Consider the following 26,063-nt stretch of genomic DNA (forward strand, 5'->3'; position numbering starts at 1 on the left):
AGATCGTGCCACTGCACTCCAGCCTGGCGACAGAGAGAGACTCTGTCTCAAAAAACAAACAAACAAACAAACAAACAAACAAAACACCTCAAAATCCCTGGAGGGTCTGGTGTGAACACAAGCCATGGTCCTGGGTTTAAGATACACTCAGACATTGTCCTGTCTGTGAACTCCTTATCACCAGAGGACTGGATCTTATGCCTGGAAGCCTGGATGGAAAATGTTCTTCCCAAAGAATGTCAGAGGAATGACTCACTGCTGTGCCCATGTCACACCTGAAGCATTTGAGAGTCATCAATCCCCTGAGGGGCTGGCAGGAAAAAGGGCTCCTAGACATAACCACTGGGACCATCACTCCAAGCTTTGAATTTGGGGAGGACTGCTTGAGCCTGGGAGGTCGAGGCTTCAGTGAGCCATGATCTTGCCACTACACTCCAGCCTGGGTGACAGAGTGAGACCCTATCTGAAACAAACAAACAAACAAACAAACAAAACCACGTGGCAGGAGGAAGGCTCTCAGGGCAGAAAGATGAGAGCTGTGCCTGTGGGTTGTTTCTCCTGCTTACTCCCTCTCGCCCATTTTCCCTAGAAATCATCTCTGATTCTCACAGAATAGAAGTGTTCTTAGCAGCACCTGGGCAGGACCTGCCAGCACCTTCAGCTAAAGTACAGTTAGCACCAGATTATGGATAGTGATTAGCGGGTATGAGGTCATTCTCTGGAATATCCCAAGGTGCTCTTTTGTGATAAGCCCACTTGACAACAGCTCGCCTTCTGAGTGTTTTTATTATTTGCACTCTCCAATCTGCTGACCAAGGCTGCCCTCTGGCTCACCGTCATCTAGGACCCCCACACAGGCAGGGAAGGGGAAAGGGAGTAGGGGGTGGATGGGGATAAACAAGGCGTGGCAGAACCACGAGATGGGGTTGTGAGCAGCCATTTAAAATCATGTTTTTGGCTACTATTTGATTACATAAGGAAAAGCTTATGAGATCATTTAAATTATCACATACATCCAGTCAAATGACGGGAGGGAACATACCAACATGTTAACCATGATTATCTCTGAGTGGTCCAATTAATGGTGATGCGTCTTTTTCATGTCCCTCTTTATTTTCTCGTCTGTTTTAAATGATATCTTTCTTACAAGAGAATAAATGCAGGCTGGGCATGGTGGCTCATGCCTGAAATCTTGGCACTTTTGGAGGCCGAGGCAGGGGGATTGCTTAAGGCCAGGAGTTCAAGGCTGCATTTAGGTATGATGATGCTGCATTCAACCTGGGCAATAGAGCAAGACCCCACCTCAAAAAAAAAAGAAGAAGAAGAAGAAAGAAGAAGAGGAAGAAGAAGAAGAAGAAGAAGAAGAAGAAGAGGAAGAAGAGGAAGAAGAGGAAGAAGAAAAGAAGAGGAAGAAGAGGAAGAAGAGGAAGAAGAGGAAGAAGAGGAAGAAGAAGAAGAAGAAGAAGAAGAAGAAGAAGAAGAAGAAGAAGAAGAAGAAGAAGAAGAAGAAGAAGAAGAAGAAGAAGAAGAAGAAGAAGAAGAAAAGAAGAAGAAATGTAAAGTAAAGGTAATGTCTAAATGAATGTGACCTTGGGAGCCAGACAGACCTGGTTTAAATACCAGCCCCACAATGTGCTAATGGGTGAACCTGACTTTCTTCATCTATGAAATGGGGCTGATCATATGCACTTCCCTGGGCTGAATAGGCTTAAAAGGGATCATCACACAATTCCTATTTTATGCTGTTGGCTGTCCCTTACACGGCATGTGTTCTCCCCCTGATGGAAGGGCCCAGCTTGGCACTGTGGGGGTGTGATGGGGGCCAATTCACCTCCAGTTCCTCTCTACTGAGGCTGGTTACAGGAGAGAAGGGTTGCATTGGAAGCCCGTTGCTGATTGAAATCAAAACTTGTGAAAGCTCTGAGTTGCTTGCTTCCTCATTGGTTCCACTTGAGGAAGAAGTTGCAGGAGGTGCCAGGTACAGTGGCTCACACCCATAATCCCAACACTTTGGGAGGCCAAGGTGGGAGGATCACTTGAGTCCAGGCGTTTGACACCAGCCTGAGCAACAGAGTGAGACTCCCCAATCTCTATAAATAAATAAATAAATAAATAAAAGATTAGCCAGATGTGGTGGCATGCGCCTGTAGTCCCAGCTACTCAGGAGCTCAAACAGGAGGATTGCTTGAGCCTGGCAGGTCGAGGCTGCAGTGAGCTGAGATCACACCACTGCACTCCAGCCAGGGTAACAGAGTGAGAACCTGTTTCAAAATAAATAAATAAATAAAGTTGCAGGAGGAAGGCTCTCAGGGCAGAACGATGAGAGTTGCGCACGTGGTCACTTCTCCCACTTACTCTCCTCTCGCCCATCTTCCCCAGAAATCATTTCTGATTCTCACAGAAGTCTACTGTACACTTCCTGGGGAATCCAGGCATCTTTTCTTCCTTTAAATAACAGTTTTATTGAGGTATAATTAACATACCATAAGTCCACCCATTTTCATCACCCCAAAAGAAACCCCTTCCCCATTAGCCATCACTACCCATGGCCTCCACACCCAGGCCTACCCAATCATGAATCTACTTTCTGCCTCTACAGATTGGCCTATTCTGGAAATTTCTTTTTTTCTTTTTCCTTTTTTTTTTTTTTTTTTGAGACGGAACCTCACTGTGTCATCCAGGCTGGAGTGCAGTGGCACGATCTTGGCTCACTGCAACCTCCACCTGCCAGGCTCAACCAATTCTTGTGCCTCAGCCAACCAAGTAGCTGGGATTACAGGTGCATGCCACTACACTCGGCTAATTTTTAGTAGAGACGGGGTTTCGCCATGTTGGCCAGGCTGGTCACGAACTCCTGGCCTCAAGTGATCTGCCCACCTTGGCATCCCAAAGTGCTGGGATTACAGGCATGAGCCACTGCACCCTGGCCCGATATTTCATATTTAAATGGAATCATTAGCAGTTTCTTGTGTCTGGCTTCTTTCACTTAGTCTAATGTTTTCAAGATTCATCCGTGTTGTAGCAGGTGTCAGTACTTTTTTTGATTGCCAAATAATATCCCAAATATGGTACATTTCCTTTGTCCGTTCACCAACTGGTGGACATTAGGCATCTTTTTTTGGCTTTAATATATCATCTGTAATGCTAGCTGTGATCTGTTCAACCCACCACATGCCAAGCACTCGACCTAATTTGTAATCCTTACAACAGCCCAGAGAGGCATGTCTATTTCTCCCACCATACTGACAAAGAAGTGGTCCATCCAAAGTCACAGAGCTGACAAAGTAAGTGACAGAGCTGAGATTTCCAGAAGGGTTTTTTTCCACTGCACCACACTGCACCTCCCCCACCCCCATGTGTTTTTCTGGCTCCTTCTAATTGGTTCTGAGGCCAAAACAAGAATCCACTCATTCAACGATCATTCATTCAACAAGAATTAGCTGGTACCATGTGGATGGTAAGCACAGATTAATTAGAGCCAGGCGAGAACAGACCTTGCCTCCTGGAGTATGCTGCCCAGGCAAGGGGTGGGAGGGTCATGATGTGGAGGCAAATGCCAGTCACCAGGAAGGGTGTGACCAAGTGCCAGGGACTCAGACATGCTGGAAAGCCTGAGTAATGATTTTTGGAGAAGATGACATTTTGAGCAGGATCCCAGCAGACCAGATGGATTTCACAAGCTGAGGCAGGGTGAGCCACCCACGCAGAGGAACTGGTGCACACACAGACCCAGAGACTGGGAATCTTGGTCCACAGGGGTGGGCTCTGCCCCGCTGTTGGTAGGAGGTAAAGAGGGAAGGGGAGAGGTTGAGATCACACTAGTGACAGCCTTGAATGCCAGGCTAGCATCTGGATTTTTGTCCTGTGGACAGTGGGGAGCTGCTGAAAGCTTTTGAGCAGGGTAACAAGACCAAATCCATCCATTAGATTTAAACGCTGCTAATAGACACCACTAGAACTTTGGTGTCCGCCCTCAGACCCAGGCTCCTGGCCCCTGGAAATTACACCCCGACATCCACAGGAAGAAGGAAGAGCTGGGTTTCAGACCCTTCTGCATCTTTATAGCCCCAGCACCCAGGACAGGGCCTGACACGTGGCAGGTGCTCAATAAACATTTGTTGAATGAATGGATGGATGAACCTGCCTGCCACCCCCTGCCTTCCACCCCCATCCCCCTGCCTCCCACTGTTCTTTCCTAGTCCCTCTCCTAGCAAGGTGGGAATGAGACAGCAGGTGTGCCCCAGATTCTCCCATCCCACCCACCTGCCATCTCTCCTCCTGCACCCTCAACTTCTCCCTCTTTGCCCCCGTCCTCCCCAAGGGTCATGAGTAAACACAGGAGCAAACCCTCATGTGCTCCTACCATGTGCTAGGCAGTTGCAATGACTTTACATTCTCACAATCGCCATCAGAGATAGAAATGATTAACTGCACTTTGCAGGTGGGGAACTAGTGACTCAGAGTGGTTAAGGGGCTTGCCCAGCTGCTGAGGGGCAGAATTGAAACTCAAACTAGGAATTTCTGATTCCATCCAGCGCTTCTAGCTGGGGGTGTGTAGTGAGGAGTAGGGTTCTGCTAAAGTTAGTTAAGGATGTGGAGAGGAAGAGGAAGCAGAGGGGTTCCTGGGGGAGGAAGTCTCTGGGCCCACATCCCAGGACCAGCGGGGTGAATCATAGTCAGGGTTCCTGCCCCACCTCTGGGTCCAGCTGCCACACTAGATGTGTAGCCAGATTCCCTACCCTCTCATGCCAGGGTAGGGCCTCCTCAGAAACATACACATACACACAAACACACACACACACACACACACAGCCCCGGCCCAAAGCCTAGAGAGATGGAAACAGTAGTTGCCTTAGACACAGAAGCTTTATTTTTCTATAAAATTATTCCCGAGAGAAATTTTCTTTTAAATGCCCAAAGTAAATAACTTATATCCCTTCTTGAAAACATCCCCAAAGATAGTCTGTCAGAAATCCTTCGGTCAAGCAGGTCAGCTGGCTCCCATGGCCCTTGGGGTGGCCTGACTCTGTCACTATTCCTAAAACCTTCTAGGACATCTGCTCCAGGAAGAACTTTCAACACCAAAATTCATCTCAATTTTACAGATGGGAAAAGTGATTCTGAGACCAGACCAGGGTCAGGCCAAGGTCATCCAGCATCAGTGGCTGGGCTGAGACTGGGCCCAGGGAACCCTGTCTGCTCCTCTTTTTCCCAGAGCTGTGAGTTCTCTAGCCAAGGCTGCACTCTTGAGGGAGAGCCAGGAAGCATAGCTGAGGCCATGACAACCTCACTCTTCACCTGAAAATTTAACCCGTGGCAGAGGATCCAGGCACATATAGGCTTCGGAGCCAAACAGGCCTAAAGAAATAGTTGACACACTTCCTCCCCCAGGTCATCTCCCCTGGAGTCAAGGGTCTGCCAAGGCTAAGTGCAAGGAGACACTTCTGTTTTGAAATAAAGAAGTTCCACATGCCTTTGCTTTGAGTCTGTGTGATATCAATCTGCTTGGCAACTGAGATTCTTTTCTTGCTGCGCAGACGTCCTTGTGTGTCTTTATTTTGTGTGTGTGTGTGTGTGTGTGTGTGTTTTGCTGGGATAGGCAAAGTCTTTTGGGACACGAGGTCCTCAAAGGTGGTGGAAGATGAACAAAACCATCCTCGGGGCTGAAAAGTGAGGGCTTCTGAACTATGCAATTGCAGAGGGACTTTCTTTCCAAGTACGGCATTCCCGATATACCAGAAAGGGGTGGAAGAATGTCAGAAGAATGGCAAGCATGAACATCACATTCACCTGCAGGGAGAGCAGAAGTGAGGTGAAATCCAGGAATTCTGAACAACAGAACTGTTGCTCAATGAAGCAAGCACTGGTCCATTCCATGACCAATGAAGGGACCAGAAGTCTACCGAGTTTATATTCTACTTTTCACCCAGACACTATGGTGCCCTGGAGGAAGGACTTTCAGTTACTTTTCATTCTGCACTATCGGTTGGGGTAGAGGAGGAATATCAAGCCCATTTCACAGATAAAGAAACAGAGGCCTAGCGAGCATTCAATGACATGTTCAAGGTCACATGGGAAGCTGGTAGAGGCACCAGCTAGAATACACAGCTGATTACTAGGTCACCTGATGTCACAATCAAGTCATTCGCCTCAGATTTCAAGTTTACTCTTTTGGCCATGCACAGTGGTTCACGCCTGTAATCACAGCATTTTGGAAGGCAGAGACGGGTGGATCGCTTGAGGCCAGGAATTCAAAACCAGCCCAGGCAACATAGCGAAACCCCAGTGTCTATCAAAAAAATAAAATAAAATAAGCTTGGCATGGTGGCACATGCCTGTAGTGTCAGCTACTCAGGAGGCTGAGATGAGAGGATCGCTTGAGTCCAGGAGATCGAGGCTGCAGTGAGCCGAGATTGTGCCACTGCACTCCAGCCTGGGTGACAAAGCAAGATCGTGTCTCCAAAACAAAAACAAAAAACATTTAGTCTTTCTTTTCTCCAAGTGATGGATTTAAACTCCTATTCTAAGATTTGCTGCTTTAAAAATAAAAAATGAGGCAAATAGAGCTGTGCAGTAGTCAAAACACAGAATTCAAAGTTGACTTTTGCTCCTTAGCTGGTGCCTCTGAACACGTAAGTAACCTCTTTGAGCCTCAGTTTCTGCAAAGAGCAGGAGACTCACGACCACCTCCTAGAGCAGGACCTCAGAGCATCCCTCCAGGTGTAAGGACACAGAGGTGAAAGCACAGAGGTCCTGTCCCTGGGGCCAACTGTGGAAACCCTGTGTGGGCCTAGGGGAGAGGCCAGGGTGGGCCTGCACTCACCACAAGCAGGAAACACCTTTGAGGTCTCAGGATTTTGCTTGAAGTTTCGTGAGAATTCCCCACCCTACTCCAGAATGTCTGTTTCCCCACACACACAAATACTTTTGCCCCAAATACTTGAATAACACAGACCCTTTGGGAAGCTGCACCATGCTACATACCCAGGCCATCACAGCCAGATTTGGGGCAGCCAAGGCCTAAGGCCCAGGCCTCCTGCCAGGGATCCCCATCCTCCCAGTACTCACGTAAAATGGGTCATTCTGAAGGGAGCCTTTGATGAGGGTGAAGATGGGGAACTGGAGCAGAGACACCACAGCCGACAAGGCCATCACCAGCCCAAAGAGCTTGCCAAAGTGCTCTGAAGGGAAACTGGGGAGAGAAACCAGAGGGGTTCCAGTGAGCTTCAGGGACCCTCCCTCCAAGCAGAAGCCTGGCCTCTGGGGGCTGTCGGCCGCTTGTCCCCAGCTCCCCTGTCCTAGGCCTGCCCTCCAACCACACCTGTCTGGCCTTTCCCTCTTCAGCTCTGCTCAGACATTTGACCCACAGAACCCAGAAGAAGGCACATGCGGGGCCCTGGAAAAACAGACAGGACCCTCATGCAGGCTGCACCAGGAAAGAAAAGACAGGCATGTAAATGGATGGCATGCCAGACAATGCACGCACTAGCAAAGGAAGTAAGACTAGAGTACTAAGGGCACAAAGAAGGGAAGACACTTTTCCATTTCTTCCCTGGAGAACTGAAACAGAAGTGGGCCTCAGAGGATGAATACGAGTTCACCAGGTAGAAAACAGAGGGAGAGGGCACCGCAGATGTAAAGGCTCAAGTGCATGAATGTTCTATCCTTCCCACCACCTCTGGTCTCACCCCCTCCACACCTGCCCCCAAACCCAGTCTCCCGCACCTGACTGCCTCCAGGCCCCGCCTTGCCTCCCAATTTCTTTACCTCCAGCTTCTCTTTGCCCCAGTGTGTCCGTCTCCACAGAGCCCGCCCCAAGGCCACTTACGCAAGGGTGAGGAAGGCCGCGTTGCTCCCATAGAGGAAGGAGCGGCTGATCACTTGCAGGATGAAGGTGAGGTACTGGAGAGGGAGGATGGGGACTGAGGCACAGAGGGCGAAGCCCAGGCACAGCAGGGATGTCAGGGCCAGCGAAGGCACCGTCGAGCAGAGGGCCACCGCCAAAGTGGAGGAACCTGGGCGAACAGAGAGGAAAAAGAAGCTCTCTGTAGGCCAACCCAACAGAAGTCAGCGAAGGGCCAAGGAAGATTGGAAAAAGGGGAGGAGCCACTATCCATCCACTGTCCCAACAGAAACCTGGGAGTCATCCTCGAATCCTTTCCCCACATGCCCCACCTCAAACTCATCAATAATGCTGATCATTCACCTCCTACATATCATTCAAATGTGCCCACTTCTCTCCAACCCCACTGACTCATCCTAGCTTTAAACTACCATTAACTCAGTCATGGATTACTGCAATACCCTCCTGACAGGCTACACATCTGCCCCTCCCCACCCTGAACATGTAGCCAGATCCTCTTTGTAACACTACTGGTAATAGCAAAAGACTGGAAACAATCCAAATAGTCATCAGTACAGGAATGCTGTGGCAACTATGCTGCAGCCATGTAATGGAGACCCAGGCAGTGGTTAAAAGGCATGAGAGGTCCCTGCTACAGAGCACCCTCAGGATAGAGTTACATCAAAAAAAAAAAAAACTCTGCAGAATAGTGTATACAGTATACTACCTTTTATCTAAAAGAGAGGGAAATGTATTGATATGGTTTGGCTGTGTCCCCACCCAAATCTCACGTTGAATTATATCTCCCAGAATTCCCACGTATTGTGGGTGGGACCCAGTGGGGGAGGGTAACTGAATCATGGGGGCCAGTCTTTCCCACGCTATTCTTGTGATAGTGAATAAATCTCACGAGATCTGATGGGTTTATCAGGGGTTTCCACTTTTGATTCTTCCTCATTTTTCTCTTGCCACCACCGTGTAAGAAGTGCCTTTCACCTCCTGCCATGATTCTGAGGCCTTGCCAGCCATGTGGAACTGTAAGTCCAATTAAACCTCTTTTTCTTCCCAGTCTCAGATAGGTCTTTATCAGCAGCATGAAAACAGACTAATACATGTATATACACCTACACAATGTTTATATTTAAAAAAATAAAAATGGTTACCTAAAGAAGAGGAAAAGGGGTACAAGAAACAGAGAGGGAAAGTAAACTTCTTTGAATATATCTTGTTTCACAGTTTTACCTTTGGGAAAATGTAAATGTCTGATATGTAAATGTTTTACAAATAAAATAAAATAATAATAGGAAGAAAACAAGTAAAACAATCTTTAAAAATCAGAAACAAAATAAAATGAAATCAATGAACATAACTCTATACCAAATTAGTGACCCTTAAAATCAGTAATTTGGCCCAGTGTGGTGGCTCACACCCACAATCCCAACACTTTGGGAGGCCAGGGCAAGAGGATTGCTTGAGCTCAGGAGTTAGACATCAGCCTGGGCAACAAAGACCCTTCCTCTACAAAAAAAAAAAAAAAAAAAAAAAAAAAAAAAAAATTATTTTAAATTAGCCAGACATGGTAGTGCATGCCTGTAGTCCAAGCTACTTGGGAGGCTGAAGGGAGAGGATCACTTGAGCCCAGGAGGTTGAGGCTGCAGTGAGCCGTGATCGTACCACTGTACTCCAGCTTGGGCAACAGAGTGAGACCTCATCCCTAAAAATAAAGAAGAAAATATGGCAATTTGACTGTACATCTCTAATGGGATATATCCTAAGGATGAGAAAGGAATAAGGAAGGACAGAAAAAAGGAAACAAAGAAGTAGCAACAGTATTTAGCAATTGTATTGTTATCAAGTAACATCAATATTGGTAAAACCAGTAATTATATTTAAAATACTATATATGTGTATGTACATTTACATATGCATATGTTAGGAACCAAGTTTATCAGAGGAAGAGAAAGGGCTACAAATGTAAAATCAAGGAAATAAAAATTTGAATAAAAATATCAGTATTAAGTATTTATGATATTTTTCTTATAAAAAAATTATATATATGTTAACTCTATCCAAAACCCAAAAGCAGTGACAACCCAGGAGCAATAAAAAACCTCAGCATCCAGACTGTAGTCTCTACCATTTCCAATTAAAGAAACCCAGGGCTAGTTGGGAAAAATGACAATTTCATGTCTAGGGCAAGAAACACACCTAGTGAAATGGACCTGAACATTTAATTGTGTTAGAAAGTAAGGAAACTCTCTAGAAATAATGTGATTTCATCTAAAAGACACAGATTCTGGGCTGGTAAAGTTTTCAATGGCCAAAGGTGAGACAATTTGAGCATCAAGAAGAATCATGACAGAACAGATTAAAACATGTCAAATATATTTTAAAATGAAATATTATAAAAGAAACAATTAGTAGCCATCCCTGAAGGTCACTAGGGCACCAACTCATATTTCAAACTGGTAAATAAATGTGTAAGCCAAGCATTTATTTCTGGGTAACAAAATAGTAAGGAATGTTTTTCTTTCTAGAAGAATTCTAGTGATTAAAAGTAGAAGATAGAAATAGAAAATCATCCTTTTGGCCAGGGGCAGTGGCTGTAATCCCAGAACTTTGGGAGGCCAAGGCAGGTGGATCACTGGAGATCAGGAGTTTGAGACCAGCCTGGCCAACATGGTGAAACCCCATCTCTACTAAAAATACAAAAATTAGCCAGGTAGTGGGTGCCTGTAATGCCAGCTACTCGGGATGCTGAGGCAGGAGAATCGCTTGAACCTGGGAGGCGGAGGTCGCAGTAGGCTGAGATTACGCCACTGCACTCCAGCCTAGGCAACACAGTGAGACTCTGTCTCAAAAAAAAAAAAAGAAAGAAAAGAAAATCATCCTTTTGCGATCCTAATGAAATAATGGGCCTAGGCATTGATCATTAATGGCTCCTAAAATCACTAAGTATATGGTTGATGGGAAACTTTATAGTGGATGGATCAGACTCGCAATGTCTAAACCAGTTGATCAATCTTAACATCGTAACAAGACAACAGACACCAGGGGCTGCTGACAGGAGAACAGAGGAAACCCATAGCTCTACCACTGAGTTATTCACGGCAAAAAAAAAAAAAAAAAAATTAAACTGCGTTTCCTCCAAGCTTCTAATCCTGTTGTTTACAGGAAATACCCAAGGAAAGGAATACTTTTAAATGACACATTAAAACAACGCCAAATCCAAAATATGGGGAAATGACCCAGTTTCTTCAACAAATAAACAAGAAAAGGTAGGGGGGAGGACTGTTCTAGATTTTAAAAGCTATAGAAGACACAGCAACCAAATACACTGCATGGACCAGGCATGGATCCTAATTGGAACAAACCAACTGTAAAAGGATGTATTTGAAATGATTGGAGGAATTTGAACAGTGACTGCACAGTAGATGATATGAAGAAATTATTGTTATTTTTTAGGTGTGATCATGATTTTATGGTGATGTTTAAGTAAAAGAGGCCTTATTTGTTAGAGATACATGTACGGGTATAGAGAAATATTTACGGATGAAATGATACGATGTCTGAGATTTGCTTTGAAAACTCTAGCAGGTGTGGGAGAAGCAGGTGCATGGGTGGGGGAAGGGATAGATGAAATAAGTATGCAAAATGTTAGTCTACTTTTGTCCCTCCTGACCCAGCAGGTTAAAATACCTCAGCATACCTCTACTCCTCCAACCAGGTCCAAGGATCAGGCCAAAACTCCCTGATGTGGTAAACAGCCTGACCCCTTCTTACCTCTCTCTCTCCAGCCACTTCCCTAAGATTCCCCAGTGCTCTGTGCCCTAGCCAGCCCGACTCATCTGCCCAGATTCCTCAATGTTTCACTCTCTCATTCACCATTTTGACCCCACTGTGCTCCTGGGCCACTCTCCAAGGCCCCGCCTCTTCATCTCCTCCCTCCTTACTCATCCTTCAGGTCTTGGCTTAGGTGCCATTCCCTCCAGGAAGCCTTCCCTGACACCAATCCCATCCTCACCTAGAACAGATTATGTGCGCTTCTTTGTGCCCCCCATGGCCCCCTGTGGGTTTGCTTCACGGATTATAACTGCCTGACTACCTGCCTTTCTCCACCCTCTAGACTGAGAACACCTTGAGAAAAAGAACACATCTATCTTGTCTGTCATTGAATCCCTGGTGTCTGGCACCATGGCTGACACATAACTATCACTCAGTGACTAGTGTTTTAATGAATGAATGAGTGCAACTAGACAGGGTTAAGAACAAAAGAGAAGACCAGGCATGGTGCTTCACGCCTGTTATCCCAGCATTTTGGGAGGCTGAGGCGGGCAGATCACCCGAGGTCAGGAGTTCAAGACCAGCCTGACATGGTGAAACCCCGTCTCTACTAAAAAGACAAAAATTAGTGGGGGATGGTGGCACACGCCTGTAATCCCAGCTACTTGGGAGGCTGAGGCAGGAGAATCTCTTGAACCCAGGAGGTGCAGGCTGCAATGATCTGAGATCACACCACTGCACTCCAGCCTGGGCAACAGAGTAAGACTCTATCACAAAAAAAAAAAAAAAAAAAAAAAAAAGAGCGAGAGAAGATGTCATGGGGTAAATGAAGACCTCCCTTCCTGGTTCCCTGACCAGCCCCTGCCCTCCCCCGCATCTCACCTGTCTTTCTTGCTTCCTTCTGGTACTTCTGTTTAAGCCGGTCCATGAGCAGGCCATTCCAGGGGGCACACAGCACTCCGAACTGAGTGAAGGCAAAGGCATTTGTGTAGGTGCTGACTGCAGAAGGAAGAGAGAGGTTGGTTGATGAGAAGTTTCCAAAACTCCCTTCCAGGCAGGGACTCTCCCACCTTACCCTTGTCTGCATGTCCCTCCTCCCCACACCATCAGACCCTCCTCTGGTGTGTACAGCCCTGCTGGGAGGCTCTGTGTTCCCAGCTGGGACATGCAGATGGGCTACCTCCCAGCCCTACCACATACCTCGTGCCATGTCCCCACCGGCCATGTTGGTCAGCAAGGAGTTGAGAGTGCCAATGAAGAGGTAGTGCCACAACTGTATCACAGACAGCCACACCAGGTGCCAGGCAAAGCGCCGAGAGAAAGCGTAGCTCCAGAAGGAGCGGAGTTCCTGCTTCTGCCCTGCCCCTGGGGTCTCTAATGGGGAGAGGAGGATCTGGGCGTGAATTACGAGGAAAGTGGACAGGTAGGATGGGGAGTGTGGAGGCTTCAATGGAACATTTCAGATCCGGGCCCACCTTCTACCCTTGGCTCCCAGAACTCACCCGGCGTGCTCTGCACCTGCCTCGGACTCACACATCCCCACCTCCCTGCTTTGTCATGCTGGCCCTACCACCTTGGATGACCCTCTGTGTTCTTCTCTATTGAAATCCGATCTGTCTCTCACAGCCTGGTCAATGACACTTCTTGCAGTAATACCTTCCTGATCTTTCTCAGCGAGAAAGGTGAAAGGAACGACAAGGAGAGGAGAAAGTCAGAAGGGAGAGGAGAATGAGTGTGGATACTCTGTTCTAACCTGCTCCTCAGCACCTCCCTTTCTTTTGATACCAGTATCCTGAGTTTCTTTGGGAAATCTTCCTCTACCCTAATCTTCATGGTCCAGATGGGACCATGAATTCAGTGTTCTGTTCCTCTCTCAAGGTTAACCAATGAGATGGTTCCTCCTAACAAGGCAGACCGGCCATGAGTTTAGATTAGGATGGACTTAATCTAAAATAGGTCCTACACCCTGGCAAGTTCAATGTCCTCCCTTGATTTTGGAAGCTTCCCAGAACCCTATTCTTCTTTCTTTAAAATAAATAAATAAATACATGTTTTGGATCCAATTGTCAGATGGTAAAAATAAAAACAAAAAAATCAATTTTATTCTGTATATTTAAGATATACAATATGAGGTCATAGGATACATATAGCTACTAAGATGGTTACTACAGTTAAGCAAATTAACATATCCATCATCTCACATTTCTACCTGTTTTGTGACAAGAGCAGTTAAAATCTACTTGTTTAGGAAAGTCCCAAACACAATGCAGTTTGATGACCTACAGTCTTCGTGCTGTGCATTAGATCTCTAGGCCTGTTCATCCTGCTCATCTGCTCCTTTTTGTCCTTCGACCTGCATCTCCCATCTCCTCTCCCACCCCGTTCTTATTTCTACTGTAGCTAGCTGCGGTTTGTGATGTGTGTAACCAAAGACGCAGAACAGAGAGGAAGGAAAGGAAGCAGTGATAGAGTTGGGACAATAAGAGAGGGCGGACCCAGGAGACCTGGAGAAATGGGGGCACTGTACCAGACTTAGTGCAATGGCATCACAGAAGAGGGCAGAACCGAGGAGTGGGGGGAAGGGAAGGCAACCCATGGCAGGCGGGCTTCAAGGGGTGGGGAAGTGATAGGATGCGAAATAGAGAAAAGAGGGACAGAAAAGAGACGAAAGCCCTGGACCCTCCATTAAGTGAGAGGGTTGGGAAGATGCCTAAGGCCCTTTTTCTGTCCTGCCTTTCCTGATTCTGGGTCCCTGGGGGAGCTCTGGAGGTGAGGGGCCAGGAAAGGCACAAGGAGAGGCTTGGGTCTGGAGGAGAGATGGGTTAGCCAGCAGGGCTCACCTTCCTTCGCTGAAAGGAACTCCTTTGACTGTAGCTCCCTGTTTTCATGCTCAGCTGTTTCCTTCTCTTCCTTTGTGGTGCCATTCCCAGGGCACAGGCTATGGAAACAAAAGCCCCACCAGCAAGGCCAAGGACTGTGAGCCGAACCTGAGACTCAGACTGGAGGGAATAGCATGGTGAATCCCACATTCCACCGCACTTTGGAATCACCTTTTAGCCACTCTGATGCCCAGGTTGCAGACCAGACCAGTTAAATCAGAATGTCTGGAGGTGAGAGCCAGGCTTCCTTTTCTAAGATCTCTATGTGAATCTAGTGATTCTAATAAGCAGCAAAGTTTAGGAAGCATGAAAAGAGTAGGGCAGGCCCAGGTTCAAATCCCAGCTCTGCCTCTTCCTAGCAACAGAAAGATGGCTCAGACTTAACCCTTCTGAGCCTCATTTTTTGCATTTAGAAAATGGAGATAAGGATATCTCAGAGGATTATTGTGAGGATGAAATCAGAGAGCACATGGGGTCTGACAATTAGTAAGTGAGCAGCAAAGGAATGCCCTTCCTCTACTCCTTGTGGCAAATGACTGCAAAAATGATCACATTTCTTCACCTCCTCTGTATTTCCCCCAATTTGAATGAGACTGCAGCTCTATTTCCCCATGCCCTGAATCTGGGCCAGCCTTGTGAACTGCTTCAGCCAAAAGAATGCAGCAGAAGTGGCTGTGCCAATTCCAAGCTTAAATCTCAAGAACGCTTGTGCATTTCTGCACTCTTTCAGAACCCTGAAATCACGGTGTGAATGAGCCCACGCTGGCTTGCTGGAGGATGACAGCCACGTGACCCAGGCATCCCTGTCACTCCAAACCTATGTGAGTGAGGCCATCCTAGCATAGCCAGCCCCCATGTAATCCTCCAAATGATCAGATGTATGAATGAGCCCTGTCAAAATCATCTACATCTGGCCCTGATCAGCGGAACTAGCCAGCTACCCACAGACTTGTGAAAAATAATAAATGCTTAACATTTTAGGCTGCTGAGTTTTGAGATAGTTTGTTATGCAGCAATAGCTAACAGATGCACTGCTCCAGTCCTCCTCCTCTCCTGTGATAGGTTTGCTTTACCCTGTCCATCCCACCCTAGGGCCAATGAGGGGCTCTGGCCCACAATCACCAGATAGTCCTTACCCATAGCTGTAGTTGGGGGGCAGTGGGTATGGGATGTGCCCCCGGGGCATCAGGAGGAAAGTGCGTGCTACATGCCAGGTACTGCAGACAGAGATGAAGATGAAGGAGGCCCTGAGGCTGATGCCTTTTTCATAAAGAAGCTGCAGAAGGAGAAGGAAAAAGTCAGTGTCACACCCACGTTCATAGCAGCACTATTCACAATAGCCAAAGGATGGAAGCAAACTAAGGGTCCATCAGCAGATGAACAGCTAAACATAATGTGATCTATACACACAATGGAATATTATTCAGCCTTAAAAAAGGAAAGAGGCAACCATGCTGGCTCACACCTACAATCCCAGCACTTTGGGACGCACGAGGATCACCTGAGCCCAGTTCAAGACCAGCCTTGACAACATAGTGAGACCCTCACCCCTTCTCTAGAAAATTTTTATTTAATTAGCTGGGTGTGGTGGCATACACCTGTAGTGCCAGCTACTCAGGAGGCTGAGTGGGAGGATTTCTTGAGCCCAGAAGTTTGAGGCTGCAGTGAGTCATGACTGGGCCACTGCACCCCAGCCTGGACAATGAAACATGACCTTGCCTCCAAATAAAAAAAAAAAAGGAAAGGAAAGAAATTCTGACACATGCTGCAACATGGATGAACTTTAAGAGCACTATGCAGGGCCAAGCTCAGTGGTTCCTGCCTGTAATTCTAGTGCTTTAGAAGACCAAGACAGGAGGATTGCTTGAGTCCAGGAGCTTGAGACCAGCCTGGGAAACAGCAAGACCTCATCTCTACTAAAAATAAATAAATAAATCAGCTGGGCGTGATGGTGCACGCCTGTAATTCCAGCTACTTGGGAGGCTGAGGTGAGAGGATATGATTACATGATTACATGCCTGTAATCCCAGTACTTTGGGAGGCTGAGGCAAGCAGATCACCTGAGGCCAGGAGTTCCAGACCAGCCTGGCCAACATGGTGAAACCCCGTCTCTACTGAAAATACAAAAATTAGTGGGGCATGGTGGCACGCACCTGTAATCCCAGCTACTCGGGTGGTTAAGGCAGGAGAATCGCTTGAACCCGGGAGGCGGAGGTTGCAGTGAGCCAAGATCCTGCCACCGCACTCCAGCCTGGGCAACAGAGCGAGACTCTGTCTCAAAAAAAAAAAAAGGTTAAGATAGTAAATTTTATGTTATGTATATTTTATTGCATACAAAAACATCAGCAGAAGAGGCAGGGGCTGGAACCCTGTTTTCTAAGGAGTCCTAGTACAAGCCATCACCTACTATCCTGTAAGCTGATTAGGGACACCTGGTACACACATGCCCCCACCCACCCCAAGACACACCCGGCAGTAGAGGAGTCCTCATACGACCCATCCCCACAGCCGGTGGAGCCTCCTCGTGTGGCTCCCCAGAGATCTTCTAGCCCAGTGCCTTTTTTCCCCCAACGACAGCAAAGGCCTTTTGTTCAAAGAAAATTTTACACAAAAATTCATCTTACAAAACACACCAATGGGGAGCTTGCCAGTCATCTCCCTCTTTATTCTCCTTGGTGACTGGTATGACATCAAAGAGAATCCCTAAGTTCCTCAACAGCTCAGTTTGAAAACCACCGACCTAGCCCAACCTCCTCCCATTTTACAGAGAGTGACGTTGAGGTCCAGAGAGGTGCAGTGAATTGCTCAATAAATTGACAGAGTAAGCAGCAGCAAAGTCAGATTAAACTAAGAATTCCTGTTCCTGCTCCCTTTCCCCTTCCAACTCTAGAGAGACAGGAGAGAGGCTGGGCATGGTGGCTCATGCCTGTAATTTCAGCACTTTGGGAGGTCAAGGAAGGCGGATTACTTGAGGTCAAGAGTTCAAGACCAGCCTGGCCAACATGGCGAAACCCCATCTCTACTAAAAATACAAAAATAAGCTGACTGTGGTGGCACGCCTATAGTCCCAGCTACTCAGGAGGCTGAGGCAGGAGAATTGCTTAAACCCACTAGGCAGAGATTGCAGTGAGCCAAGATCCCACCAATGCACTCCAGCCTGGGAGACAAAGTGAGACTCCAACTCAATAATAAAAAAAAAAAAAAAAGAGAGAGGAAAGAAAGATGAGGCAGCCATCTGGGTTCTCCAGGGGAAGGAGGGAGAACCCAGAAAGTGACTCTTATGCCAGGAGTAGAAAGGCTTGAGTGCCTCAGGGGCTCAGTCTCTGCATAACCCTCCAAACCTCCAAAGCTTATGGGACTAAGCTAGACTCATGTCTGGGTGGTGACTGCCAGAGATCCTCTTCTCTGCCCCCATAACCTGCAGGCAGTGCCAACTGCCTGTGACCTAACACTAAGCCCAGAGAGAAGTCCCAGGTTGGATGGCTTGAGATCCACACTCTTCCCTTCCTTTCACTCAGCCATCTGTGGTGTGCTGGCTTTAGTCCTCCAGCTTGCTGCCTCATAATTGAAGCATGGTTGCCACAACTCCAGCTATCACATCCTCACACCACAACATTCAATGAGGAAGACTTTGTTTTTACTCTGCTTTCACCTTGCGTCAGGGAAGAAAAGTCCCCTTGAATCTTCCACTATATACACTCCCTTTATCTCATTAAAAAGGACTGGATCATATGCTGACCTCCACCTATCACTAGCAACGGGTAAATGGATTGCCATGGTTGGCTTTAATCAATCAGGATTCATCCCCTGGGCTAAGCGGGTCACTGCCCAGATAAAACTGTTCGCAATGAATAAGACAGAATGGTTGTTGATTGACCTCTAATAGCCTTGGCAACAGTTCATCCCCTGATACCCCAACATCAGCCACTGGGACAGCTGGACAAGCCTCTGTGTCTGCCCCTGCTGTACCCACTAGCCACTTGCCACCTTCTTGTCCAAACTAGAAGCTCACAGCAGCAAACGCCCCACTCTAAAGGTCCCCCAGCCTCTACCCAACACTGGCCCAAGCACATTATGACCACTGCCACAAAAGCTTGGGCAAGTCTGAAGAAGGGGCTTAGCGGTTACAAGCTCAGGCTCTAGAACCGACAAGCCTGGGTTCAAGTTCCAGTATCATGGCTACTAGCTGCAGAACCTTCAACAAGCTTTTTAACCTCAGAGACTCAAATGCTTCATCTGTAAAATGGGGGTAACACAGTACCTACCTCACCGAGTTGATGGAGACAAATAATGCAGGTTCACAAGACAAGTGTCTGGCATATACAAGTGCCCAGTGAATGTAGGCTGTTGCTATATTTACCTTAATAATAAGGAAGACTGCCGAGGAAGAGTCAAATGCTCCATTGTACAGAGTGATGATGGTCGAACGGTGTTGGCCAAATAGGTTCCCAATCTGGGGATGATAGGACTAGCCTGGATCACTTATTTATTCATGAAACAGATACTTCCTGAGCACCCAGCATGTGGCAGACCCTCCTTATACCCAAACTCACCCTCCACCGCTAGAGCTCCCACCTCAGCTTGGGCCAACCCCATCTGAGGCAGCCAATTATAGAAAAGGGTCTCTCCTTCCCTCCACCTTCCCGCCACCCTGCCGAGTGCCTGGGATTAGGGAAGGCTCCCACCTGCAGGTTGGTGATGAGAAACAGGATTCCCCCAATGGTGAGCATTGGCATGGCCAGGAAGAGCAGCACGGCTGAGCCTGGACCATCAAAGTCAGAGGTAGGGTGGTGTCATAGTGCAACCCAAACATGGAGCCCCAAACTCTGCTCCCACCTGCTCCAAATTCCCAACAATCCTGGTATCCAGGCCCCAATTCTAGCCAGCGTTCCAGCGTCCTTCAAGGGTTTTTAGGATACCGGCCAAGGCTTCCCCAGATATCTCTGTGGAAGTCTTCTGAGCCACCTTCTTCCCAACCAAAGTTGGTCCTCAGTCTGTGGCAGGCCAGGAAGTCTACAGACAGAGGCAGAGCTCTAAGTGAAGCCACCTCTCTCTTCCCTCAGTAAACCACAAGCTGCCTCTCCCTTTCATCCTTGACACTCCTGGAAAAGAAGACCCTGGACTCAGGTCCCTGGCTCAACCCTCTAGCCCATTCCCTAATTCATGGTATTGGCCTTGAGCTTCAATCATCTGTTTAATGGGAACAACAGTTCCTGCTCTTCCTGTCTCAGGTGCTATGAGAACTGAGTGAGAAAAGGACCATGGTCTTTTCTTTGTTCACTAAACTCTGAGCACTTCTTTGGTGCCAGGCATTGTGCTTGGCACTGGAAATGCAAGATGAATCAGATAGTCCTTGCCCTTAAATAGACTGACATGCAAACAAATGGTTATAACAGGTCTGGTAAGTGTGAGACCACAGCAAAAAAGCTCAAGAGCTGGGCTAGGGGAACCCTTGACAAATTCTTCCTCCCCAAACCAGACTTCTGCCCACCATTATTCTGGCCACAACCTATGCCTGTCCTATTATTTGCTAAAATGTTTTAAGTTGACTCACTTTTATCCAAAAAGTATCTATTTTTAAAGGACACTTTATATCACTACTGTAGATGAAAACACTGGCATTACTTGTCATGAATAGAAAGTAACTGTCAAAATAAATACAATGAAAGGAAAACAATGTTATTCAATTGTAGCTGGATGCATTTGACCTTAGAATGTTCAAAGCCTAAGACCTGCTCTTCCCATCAGTGTTAAAATCACACTGGCCCCACATGAAGACATTCTTTCATGAAATCAGAAGGACTGAAAGAGAAATAAAAAGGGAATAGCTGTTCTACCAGGTGATTTGATGTTTGTTAGTGTAGTTCACGTAGTATGCGTGTGCCCCTAACATCCTCTTAACTACCGTGCTATACCTTAAGAAGCACTGCCAAGAGCTAATTTTAGAGTATTCACACAGTTTACCATTCAATTTCTGTCTTTATAAAATGTACATCTCTCCTACTACTAAAGGTTGGAGACTCCTTTCACAATAGAGTCCTTATGGGCTCAATGCTTTTTTCAAAACTGAAAAGCCCTATATTATGGAGGAAGAGGAGGATTGTTGCTCAGACGATTTGCAGGCACGAGTCAAACATTACCCAGCCACCACCTCCACATTCAGTTGCTTAAAAATCATTTACAGGCTTTTAGAGTAGATGATGCTGGTTTGATAAGGAGAGTGGTTTGAAATAATTGGTTTGAGGTGCTGGGCCATCTCATGAGATCTGTGTGAACAAAGACACTCAGCCTCTGTGTTTGCCCAGCATGAGTGCAGACAATCTCATGATGCTGTCAGCTTTAGCATAGCTTACACACACAAGAGTAATGTACTTTCTTTCCTAAACCAAAAATTGAGCCACGGGTCTAACACTAGGAAGGAATATTGGGAGGCATCTCGTGGCCACCATAACCAAGGCAATGACAGAAAGAAGAGTGAGGGATCAGGAGGCCTGCACATCAGGCCCACCTCCCACTTGCTTTCTCTGTGGCCATGGACATGTCTTTGCAAGGGGTCCTGCTGTGGCTTCAGTTTCTCCTCTGTGTAATGGGTGGAAGGGTGGTGGAAAATAAACCAGATTGGAGTTCCAGACTTAACAGACTGGTGAAATTTTAAAACAAAGATTTTGAGTACAATAGGGTTGTCAACTTTTACCCTGCTAAGTAAGGATATTTGCAAAATGGTCATTCATATAATCATTTCATTAAAAAGAGAAAGAGAACATTTTAACACATAGGAGAAGGATGTAAAGGTTTTTTGTTGTTGTTTTGTTTTTTAGGGTTTTTTGTTTGTTTTTTGGTAGAGTCTCACTTTGTCACCCAGGCTGGAGTGCAATGGTGTGATCTTGGCTCACTGCAACCTCTGCCTCCTGGGTTCAGGCAATTCTCCTGCCTCAGCCTCCTGAGTGGCTGGGATTACAGGCGCGCACCACCATCCAGCTAATTTTTGTATTTTTTTTAGTAGAGAAGGGATTTCACCATGTTGGCCAGGCTGGTCTTGAACTCCTGACCTCAGATGATCCACCCGCCTCAGCCTCCCAAAGTGCTGGGATTACAGGAGTGAGCCACTGCACCTGGCCAGATGTAAAGTTTTGAATAAATTCTACTCTCTGAAGTAATCCCTCTCCATCATCCTTGCTTTTCACATTTTCTCAATAAACTGTTTTCACAGACCAGCAATAGCTCAAGATCCTTCCAGGATTCTTTCAAGCTGCAGATCTCTGAATAACCATGTGGTCTGTATATCTTGCCTATAGCCCTCTGCTCACACCTGCCCCAGCCACCAGGTGCCTCTGAGCTTGCATCCCTCCCACCCACCTGACAGCACTCACCTGCAGAGGTGAAGGCTATGATGAGTGTGGCGGTGGTGTAGAAAAATCTGAAACACATAACAGGAAAAGCAGAATATTGTCAAGGAGGGAGAAACCTGGGAGAAAAAACATGATTCTGCTCAGCCAGCCCACAAGTGTAGGACTTGACCGCACCCTCAGCCTGGGATGCAACGGGCACTGATGCCTCTGAGCCCCAGGCTCAAAACCAGGCGCAAGAAGCCGCGATGAGATTGAGATGTGGTCCTGACCTCATGGACAGTGCATTTTGCTCATTCTGAGGCCCAAGGCTAGCATGGAAAGTCTTGGACAATGAGCTCAGCTGACGATGTGATTGGCTTGGGACTTAGCCAGGACAGAATGGGCAAAGCGAAGGTCCTCCCACCTGGAAGCCCCAACAGCCCAACCCCTTGGAGAAAGGGGTTAGTGCCTGGTCTGCAAATCAAGGCCTTGAGTTCTAACTCCTCCTCACTCTGTGACCTTGGGCAAGGCGCTGTCCTTCTCTGGGCCTCAGGAGCCTTTTCTATAAAAAGAAATGATCGGACTGATCTAGCTCAGAGTGCTATGATTTCAGGACTACAGTCCCAAGGTTATCAGGCTCCCTTAGCATTTGGGGGTCTTGTAAGGCATGGAGTAAAAAAAAAAAAGCAATATCCTAAGGCTGGAGAAGAGGGAGGGGACAAAGGAAGGGGAGGAAAGGGGAGGTAGCAGGGAGCCAAGGACCAAGAAGGACTGAGGTACAGTCATTCTGCATCCAAAGGCTTAAATTGTAAGGGACTGGCTTTACTCTGGCTGTTTCCGGAAAGGCAGGCCCAGCCAGCCCTCCCGTCTCTCTCTCTGACAGCCAATCTCACATGTGCCTCCCTGGGAGCACCTGCTCTGAGCTGTATCAGCCCCCAGCAGGCCGCTGATTACCACTGAGCCTGGCCACAGAGCACGAGATTAGGATGCAGCAACACACTGTGTGTGAGATCACGTCCCGAACCTTCTGACTCATCTGCACAGGAAACCCCCCCAGTCTCCCCTCCAGTCAGAAGGGACCTGAAATTCCACCAGTGGCAATACCAAAGAAACTTCCTATTAGCTAAGCCCCTAGGGAGTGATTGGCTGTTGGGGCGGGGAGGGGGGGCGGTGAGGAGGATGAGGATGAAGCCTGGGCAACCTGGATGTGAGGCTGTGCAGGGGATGAGGACAAGGATCCTTGGGGTGAAGGAAGAGAAGAGCAATTTTAGGTTTTGCTAATTTTGTAACCCTGGCTCCAAGCCAGCCCTTACAGGAAGTCACCCTGGCCTCCGGCTCAATTCAGCACGTGATAGGGAAGCCACATTTATGCAGAGCAGGGAACGAGGTAAGGAAATGGAAGTGGGGCTGTGGTGAAGTGGGCAAGTCTAGAGAGAGTCCCGCTGCCTGGGGCTGTTCCTAACAGCTGCTGGGAGCGAGCTGCAGGTGTGGTGCCTGGCAGGGTGGCCGGGCTGTCTGACTCTGGATTTCACTCCAAGCTAGGCTGCTGCCTGAAGGATTCCTCTTACCCACCTTTGCCTGGGCTGGCCTTTGGGACTTACATGGCTATGAGGCGTGCCACGGTGGTCTTGAACCGGTCAAAGATGTAGCCAGTGGGGAATGTCATGAAGTTGTTCATGAAGGACCCCAGGGTGAAGATGAGTGAGAACCTCTCATCCTGGGCTTTGCAGTCTGGAGTAGAAAAAAGGTCTCCCATGCATCCCAGCCTTCCTGCCAAATGAGCACACAGGCTGGGCTCCCCTCCACCTCAGACAGCTTGTCGGTCGCAAACTTGTCCCTTAAGCTGAGTTGAAATGTGGCTGCCCCTAATTACCCCTCAGGAGCTGGTGCCTCCCTCCCAGGCACTTCCCAGATCAAGTGGGGTGAGAGCTGCTGACCCTTCCTCTCATCATAGAAAGAGGGGTGGGCAGGGGGCAGAGTCCTTCCTGCTCCTTGCCACCACGTGGGAGCCAGACTTAACTTCCTTAGAAAAGTCATCCCTGCCCTTACCAGCCTGCCCTGTGGCATTGCCAATCGGCCCAGCATCTGGTCCACACAGATCCTTAAAGTAATCTTCATTCTTGAAGACAAACACTAGTGAAGGCCAGCCAAAGAGGACGCCAGCAAAGCCCAGGCATTCCAGCAGCCCAGTCAGCAGTGTGGCCACGTGCAGGGGCAGGCCCTGGCCCGCCATGAGCAGAAGTGGAGTGGATCTTCAAATCCCACTTTGTCCTCCTGGACGGATCACAGGCGCCGTAAGCCTGGCGTTTGAGCACTTGGAAAATTCCTCTGGCAAGCCAAGCCCTTCCTTTCCCGTAGCTCTCTGGTTGTTTCAGGCCTGGGCAAAAACCATCAGCGGGTGATTCTCTGGATCCTGTAGAATAAAGATAGAGGCTGCTGGAAGAGGAGGCCTGCGGGAAAGGGAAAGGTAGACTAGAGTTATTTGTGAGGTGCATTAAGAGGCAGGATGATCATGGCCGCTGGCAGCAAATGTGGGGAATAAATACTCCAATACATCATCTTAGGCACTGCATTTGAGTAACCACGTGGCAAGTAGAGAGGCAGGTCTTGATGGCCACCTGGAGTCACAGGTGAGATAAACGACTTACCCAATAGCTCCCCGGGAGCAGGTGGAGAAGCGGAGCTCCTGCGCTCGAATTCTGAATACCGTCCCCTAAAATAATGACAGCAACTCAACCAGGTGCAGAGGCAGGGAGATTTCATACAGAAGACACAAACTCCCGCTGCCAAGTTGGTGTTATCTTCAGTTTACTGACAATGAAACAAAAGCTCCCATGGATTTCAGGAACTTGCCCAAGGTCACAGGGCTAGTTTAGTCACGACGCAGGCCATTCTACTGCCAGAAATACCCCCAACTCCCATGACCCTCGCCTAGGACTCGCAAACCTGGTCCCCGCCGCCCTTCCTCGCATCAACTTCTACCAGGAAAGCCTCCGGGGGCCGCTCCCCGCCAGCCTCCGCACCCCGCTCCAGCCTGCGGCCTGCCCTCCCCGCAGAGGAGCCCGAGGGGCCAGGCCGCGCTCGGCGCCCCATGGCGCCCGAAAGGGGACCCTTCGCCCTACCCGCCTGCTCCGCGCCGGGGCTCTCCGCGCCCTTTCCGCACGGGCCAGGTTCGCATTCGCGCCTCTCGCAGCCCCTCCCAGTCCCCTGCTCGCCTCCGCCCCCTCCTGCCCGCCCGGAAGGGGCTGGGGCAGACCTCCCACTCTCCATCACTTCCTTCTTCTTTTCCCTTGCTCACAGCCTCCCGCGCCCTTTTTACCTCTCCCTCTTGAAACTTCTCCCTCTAGAACCCCCTAGAACCCCAGCGGTGTCTTTCCCTCCCTCCTCGCTGCCTTTCAGCCTCCCAGCCCCCTTGCCTCTGCCTCCCCTAACCAAGTTAGTTGAATGCTGTTACTCGCTCAGGCCCACCTAGGGAAAATGTCACACCCAGCACCCAGAGGACACACAGACAGCACATGAGGGCATAGGGACACACACACTCTATTTGTGCATTTTGCCTTGACCGCTGGGTTGGCAGGGAACATATTTTTCCTATTTGCTCACCAGCTTAACCGTCTCTCCCAGTTTCACACTCCCAGAGCTGCCAAAAAAATCCCAACCACAGAATCAGGAAGCCAAGAACCAGGACTGAGGGCTTTTCAGAAACCATCCCCTGGAGGACTGCCCCATATTTTCACTCCCAAAAACCCCTTAGATGACTCCCTGCCTCACCCCCGCCCCCCAGGTTCTGAAAGAGCCTTCCCGCCAGACTGCATTGATTAACCATTCATTGCCCCATTTTTTATTAATCAAAGACATATATAATTGCTCATCGGAGCTTGTGATCAGCGTGAGGCCTTACTAAGCAGCTGCCTTACTATCCTTCCAGCCCAGAGCACGTGAGCTGACGTCTTCTTTGGCCTGTGTGGCCGTTTCCTTGCCAAAAGCTCAGTTTGGGGAGAGCTTCTTGCGTATTAGATGCAGTCTGCAGACTCCCAACCCCAGCTACCTGGATCCCCTGAGGGCCCAGGAACTCCAGCTATTCCAAGCCCACTCCTCTTTTTTTTAAGAGGAAGAAATAGAGGTTACGATAGGGGACAGCCAGAACTGAGGATTTTCCAGCTCACCACCAAAGCACAAAAGATAAAAGTCTGCAACCACCCTAGTGACTTGACTGAATGGAGGAAGGGT

At 48.2% G+C, this 26,063-nt stretch overlaps 1 protein-coding gene across 5 annotated transcripts, besides 6 other annotated features; it reads right to left on the reverse strand.

Annotated features, from left to right (window-relative positions):
* Window positions 1–4,847: 4,847 nt before the first annotated feature.
* Window positions 4,848–25,474, reverse strand: SLC43A3 (solute carrier family 43 member 3). 5 transcript variants are annotated; one of them, NM_017611.3, is made up of 14 exons: window positions 25,437–25,474; window positions 24,482–24,546; window positions 23,883–24,246; window positions 23,435–23,564; window positions 21,876–21,922; window positions 19,191–19,267; window positions 18,866–18,958; window positions 15,642–15,781; window positions 14,467–14,564; window positions 12,827–13,000; window positions 12,509–12,625; window positions 7,829–8,015; window positions 7,069–7,192; window positions 4,848–5,790 (listed from the first exon to the last, which is right to left on the reverse strand). In NM_017611.3, exons 3-14 carry the CDS (start codon window positions 24,064–24,066, stop codon window positions 5,686–5,688), a joined length of 1,476 nt encoding a protein of 491 aa, NP_060081.1. In that variant the 5' UTR covers window positions 24,067–24,246; window positions 24,482–24,546; window positions 25,437–25,474; the 3' UTR covers window positions 4,848–5,685. The 5 variants fall into 5 exon arrangements, with proteins under 5 accessions (NP_060081.1, NP_001265130.1, NP_955361.1 ...); NM_001278201.2 differs by lacking the exon at window positions 25,437–25,474 and adding an exon at window positions 24,960–25,015 and having other exon boundaries at window positions 23,883–24,283; NM_199329.3 differs by lacking the exon at window positions 25,437–25,474 and adding an exon at window positions 24,956–25,015.
* Window positions 12,471–12,971: an enhancer, noted in NCBI's record as "H3K4me1 hESC enhancer chr11:57182050-57182550 (GRCh37/hg19 assembly coordinates)". NCBI's record gives its function as "activates a minimal SCP1, AML or CMV promoter by ChIP-STARR-seq in primed H9 embryonic stem cells {active_cell/tissue: H9 hESC(primed)}" and the evidence as "EXISTENCE:reporter gene assay evidence [ECO:0000049][PMID:30033119]".
* Window positions 22,947–23,739: an enhancer, noted in NCBI's record as "H3K4me1 hESC enhancer chr11:57192526-57193318 (GRCh37/hg19 assembly coordinates)". NCBI's record gives its function as "activates a minimal SCP1, AML or CMV promoter by ChIP-STARR-seq in naive H9 embryonic stem cells {active_cell/tissue: H9 hESC(naive)}" and the evidence as "EXISTENCE:reporter gene assay evidence [ECO:0000049][PMID:30033119]".
* Window positions 22,947–24,631: a biological region, named in NCBI's record as "CDK7 strongly-dependent group 2 enhancer GRCh37_chr11:57193011-57194210".
* Window positions 23,432–24,631: an enhancer, noted in NCBI's record as "CDK7 strongly-dependent group 2 enhancer chr11:57193011-57194210 (GRCh37/hg19 assembly coordinates)". NCBI's record gives its function as "activates an origin of replication core promoter dependent on BRD2, BRD4, P300/CBP, MED14 and CDK7 cofactors, with strong dependence on CDK7, by STARR-seq in HCT116 cells {active_cell/tissue: HCT116}" and the evidence as "EXISTENCE:reporter gene assay evidence [ECO:0000049][PMID:35650434]".
* Window positions 23,740–24,532: an enhancer, noted in NCBI's record as "H3K4me1 hESC enhancer chr11:57193319-57194111 (GRCh37/hg19 assembly coordinates)". NCBI's record gives its function as "activates a minimal SCP1, AML or CMV promoter by ChIP-STARR-seq in naive H9 embryonic stem cells {active_cell/tissue: H9 hESC(naive)}" and the evidence as "EXISTENCE:reporter gene assay evidence [ECO:0000049][PMID:30033119]".
* Window positions 24,775–25,134: a silencer, noted in NCBI's record as "silent region_3346". NCBI's record gives its function as "represses an Ori minimal core promoter by ATAC-STARR-seq in GM12878 lymphoblastoid cells {active_cell/tissue: GM12878}" and the evidence as "EXISTENCE:reporter gene assay evidence [ECO:0000049][PMID:35858748]".
* Window positions 25,475–26,063: the final 589 nt, after the last annotated feature.

This window comes from Homo sapiens, chromosome 11, assembly GCF_000001405.40.
Source record: "Homo sapiens chromosome 11, GRCh38.p14 Primary Assembly".
Taxonomy (NCBI): Eukaryota; Metazoa; Chordata; class Mammalia; order Primates; family Hominidae; genus Homo; species Homo sapiens.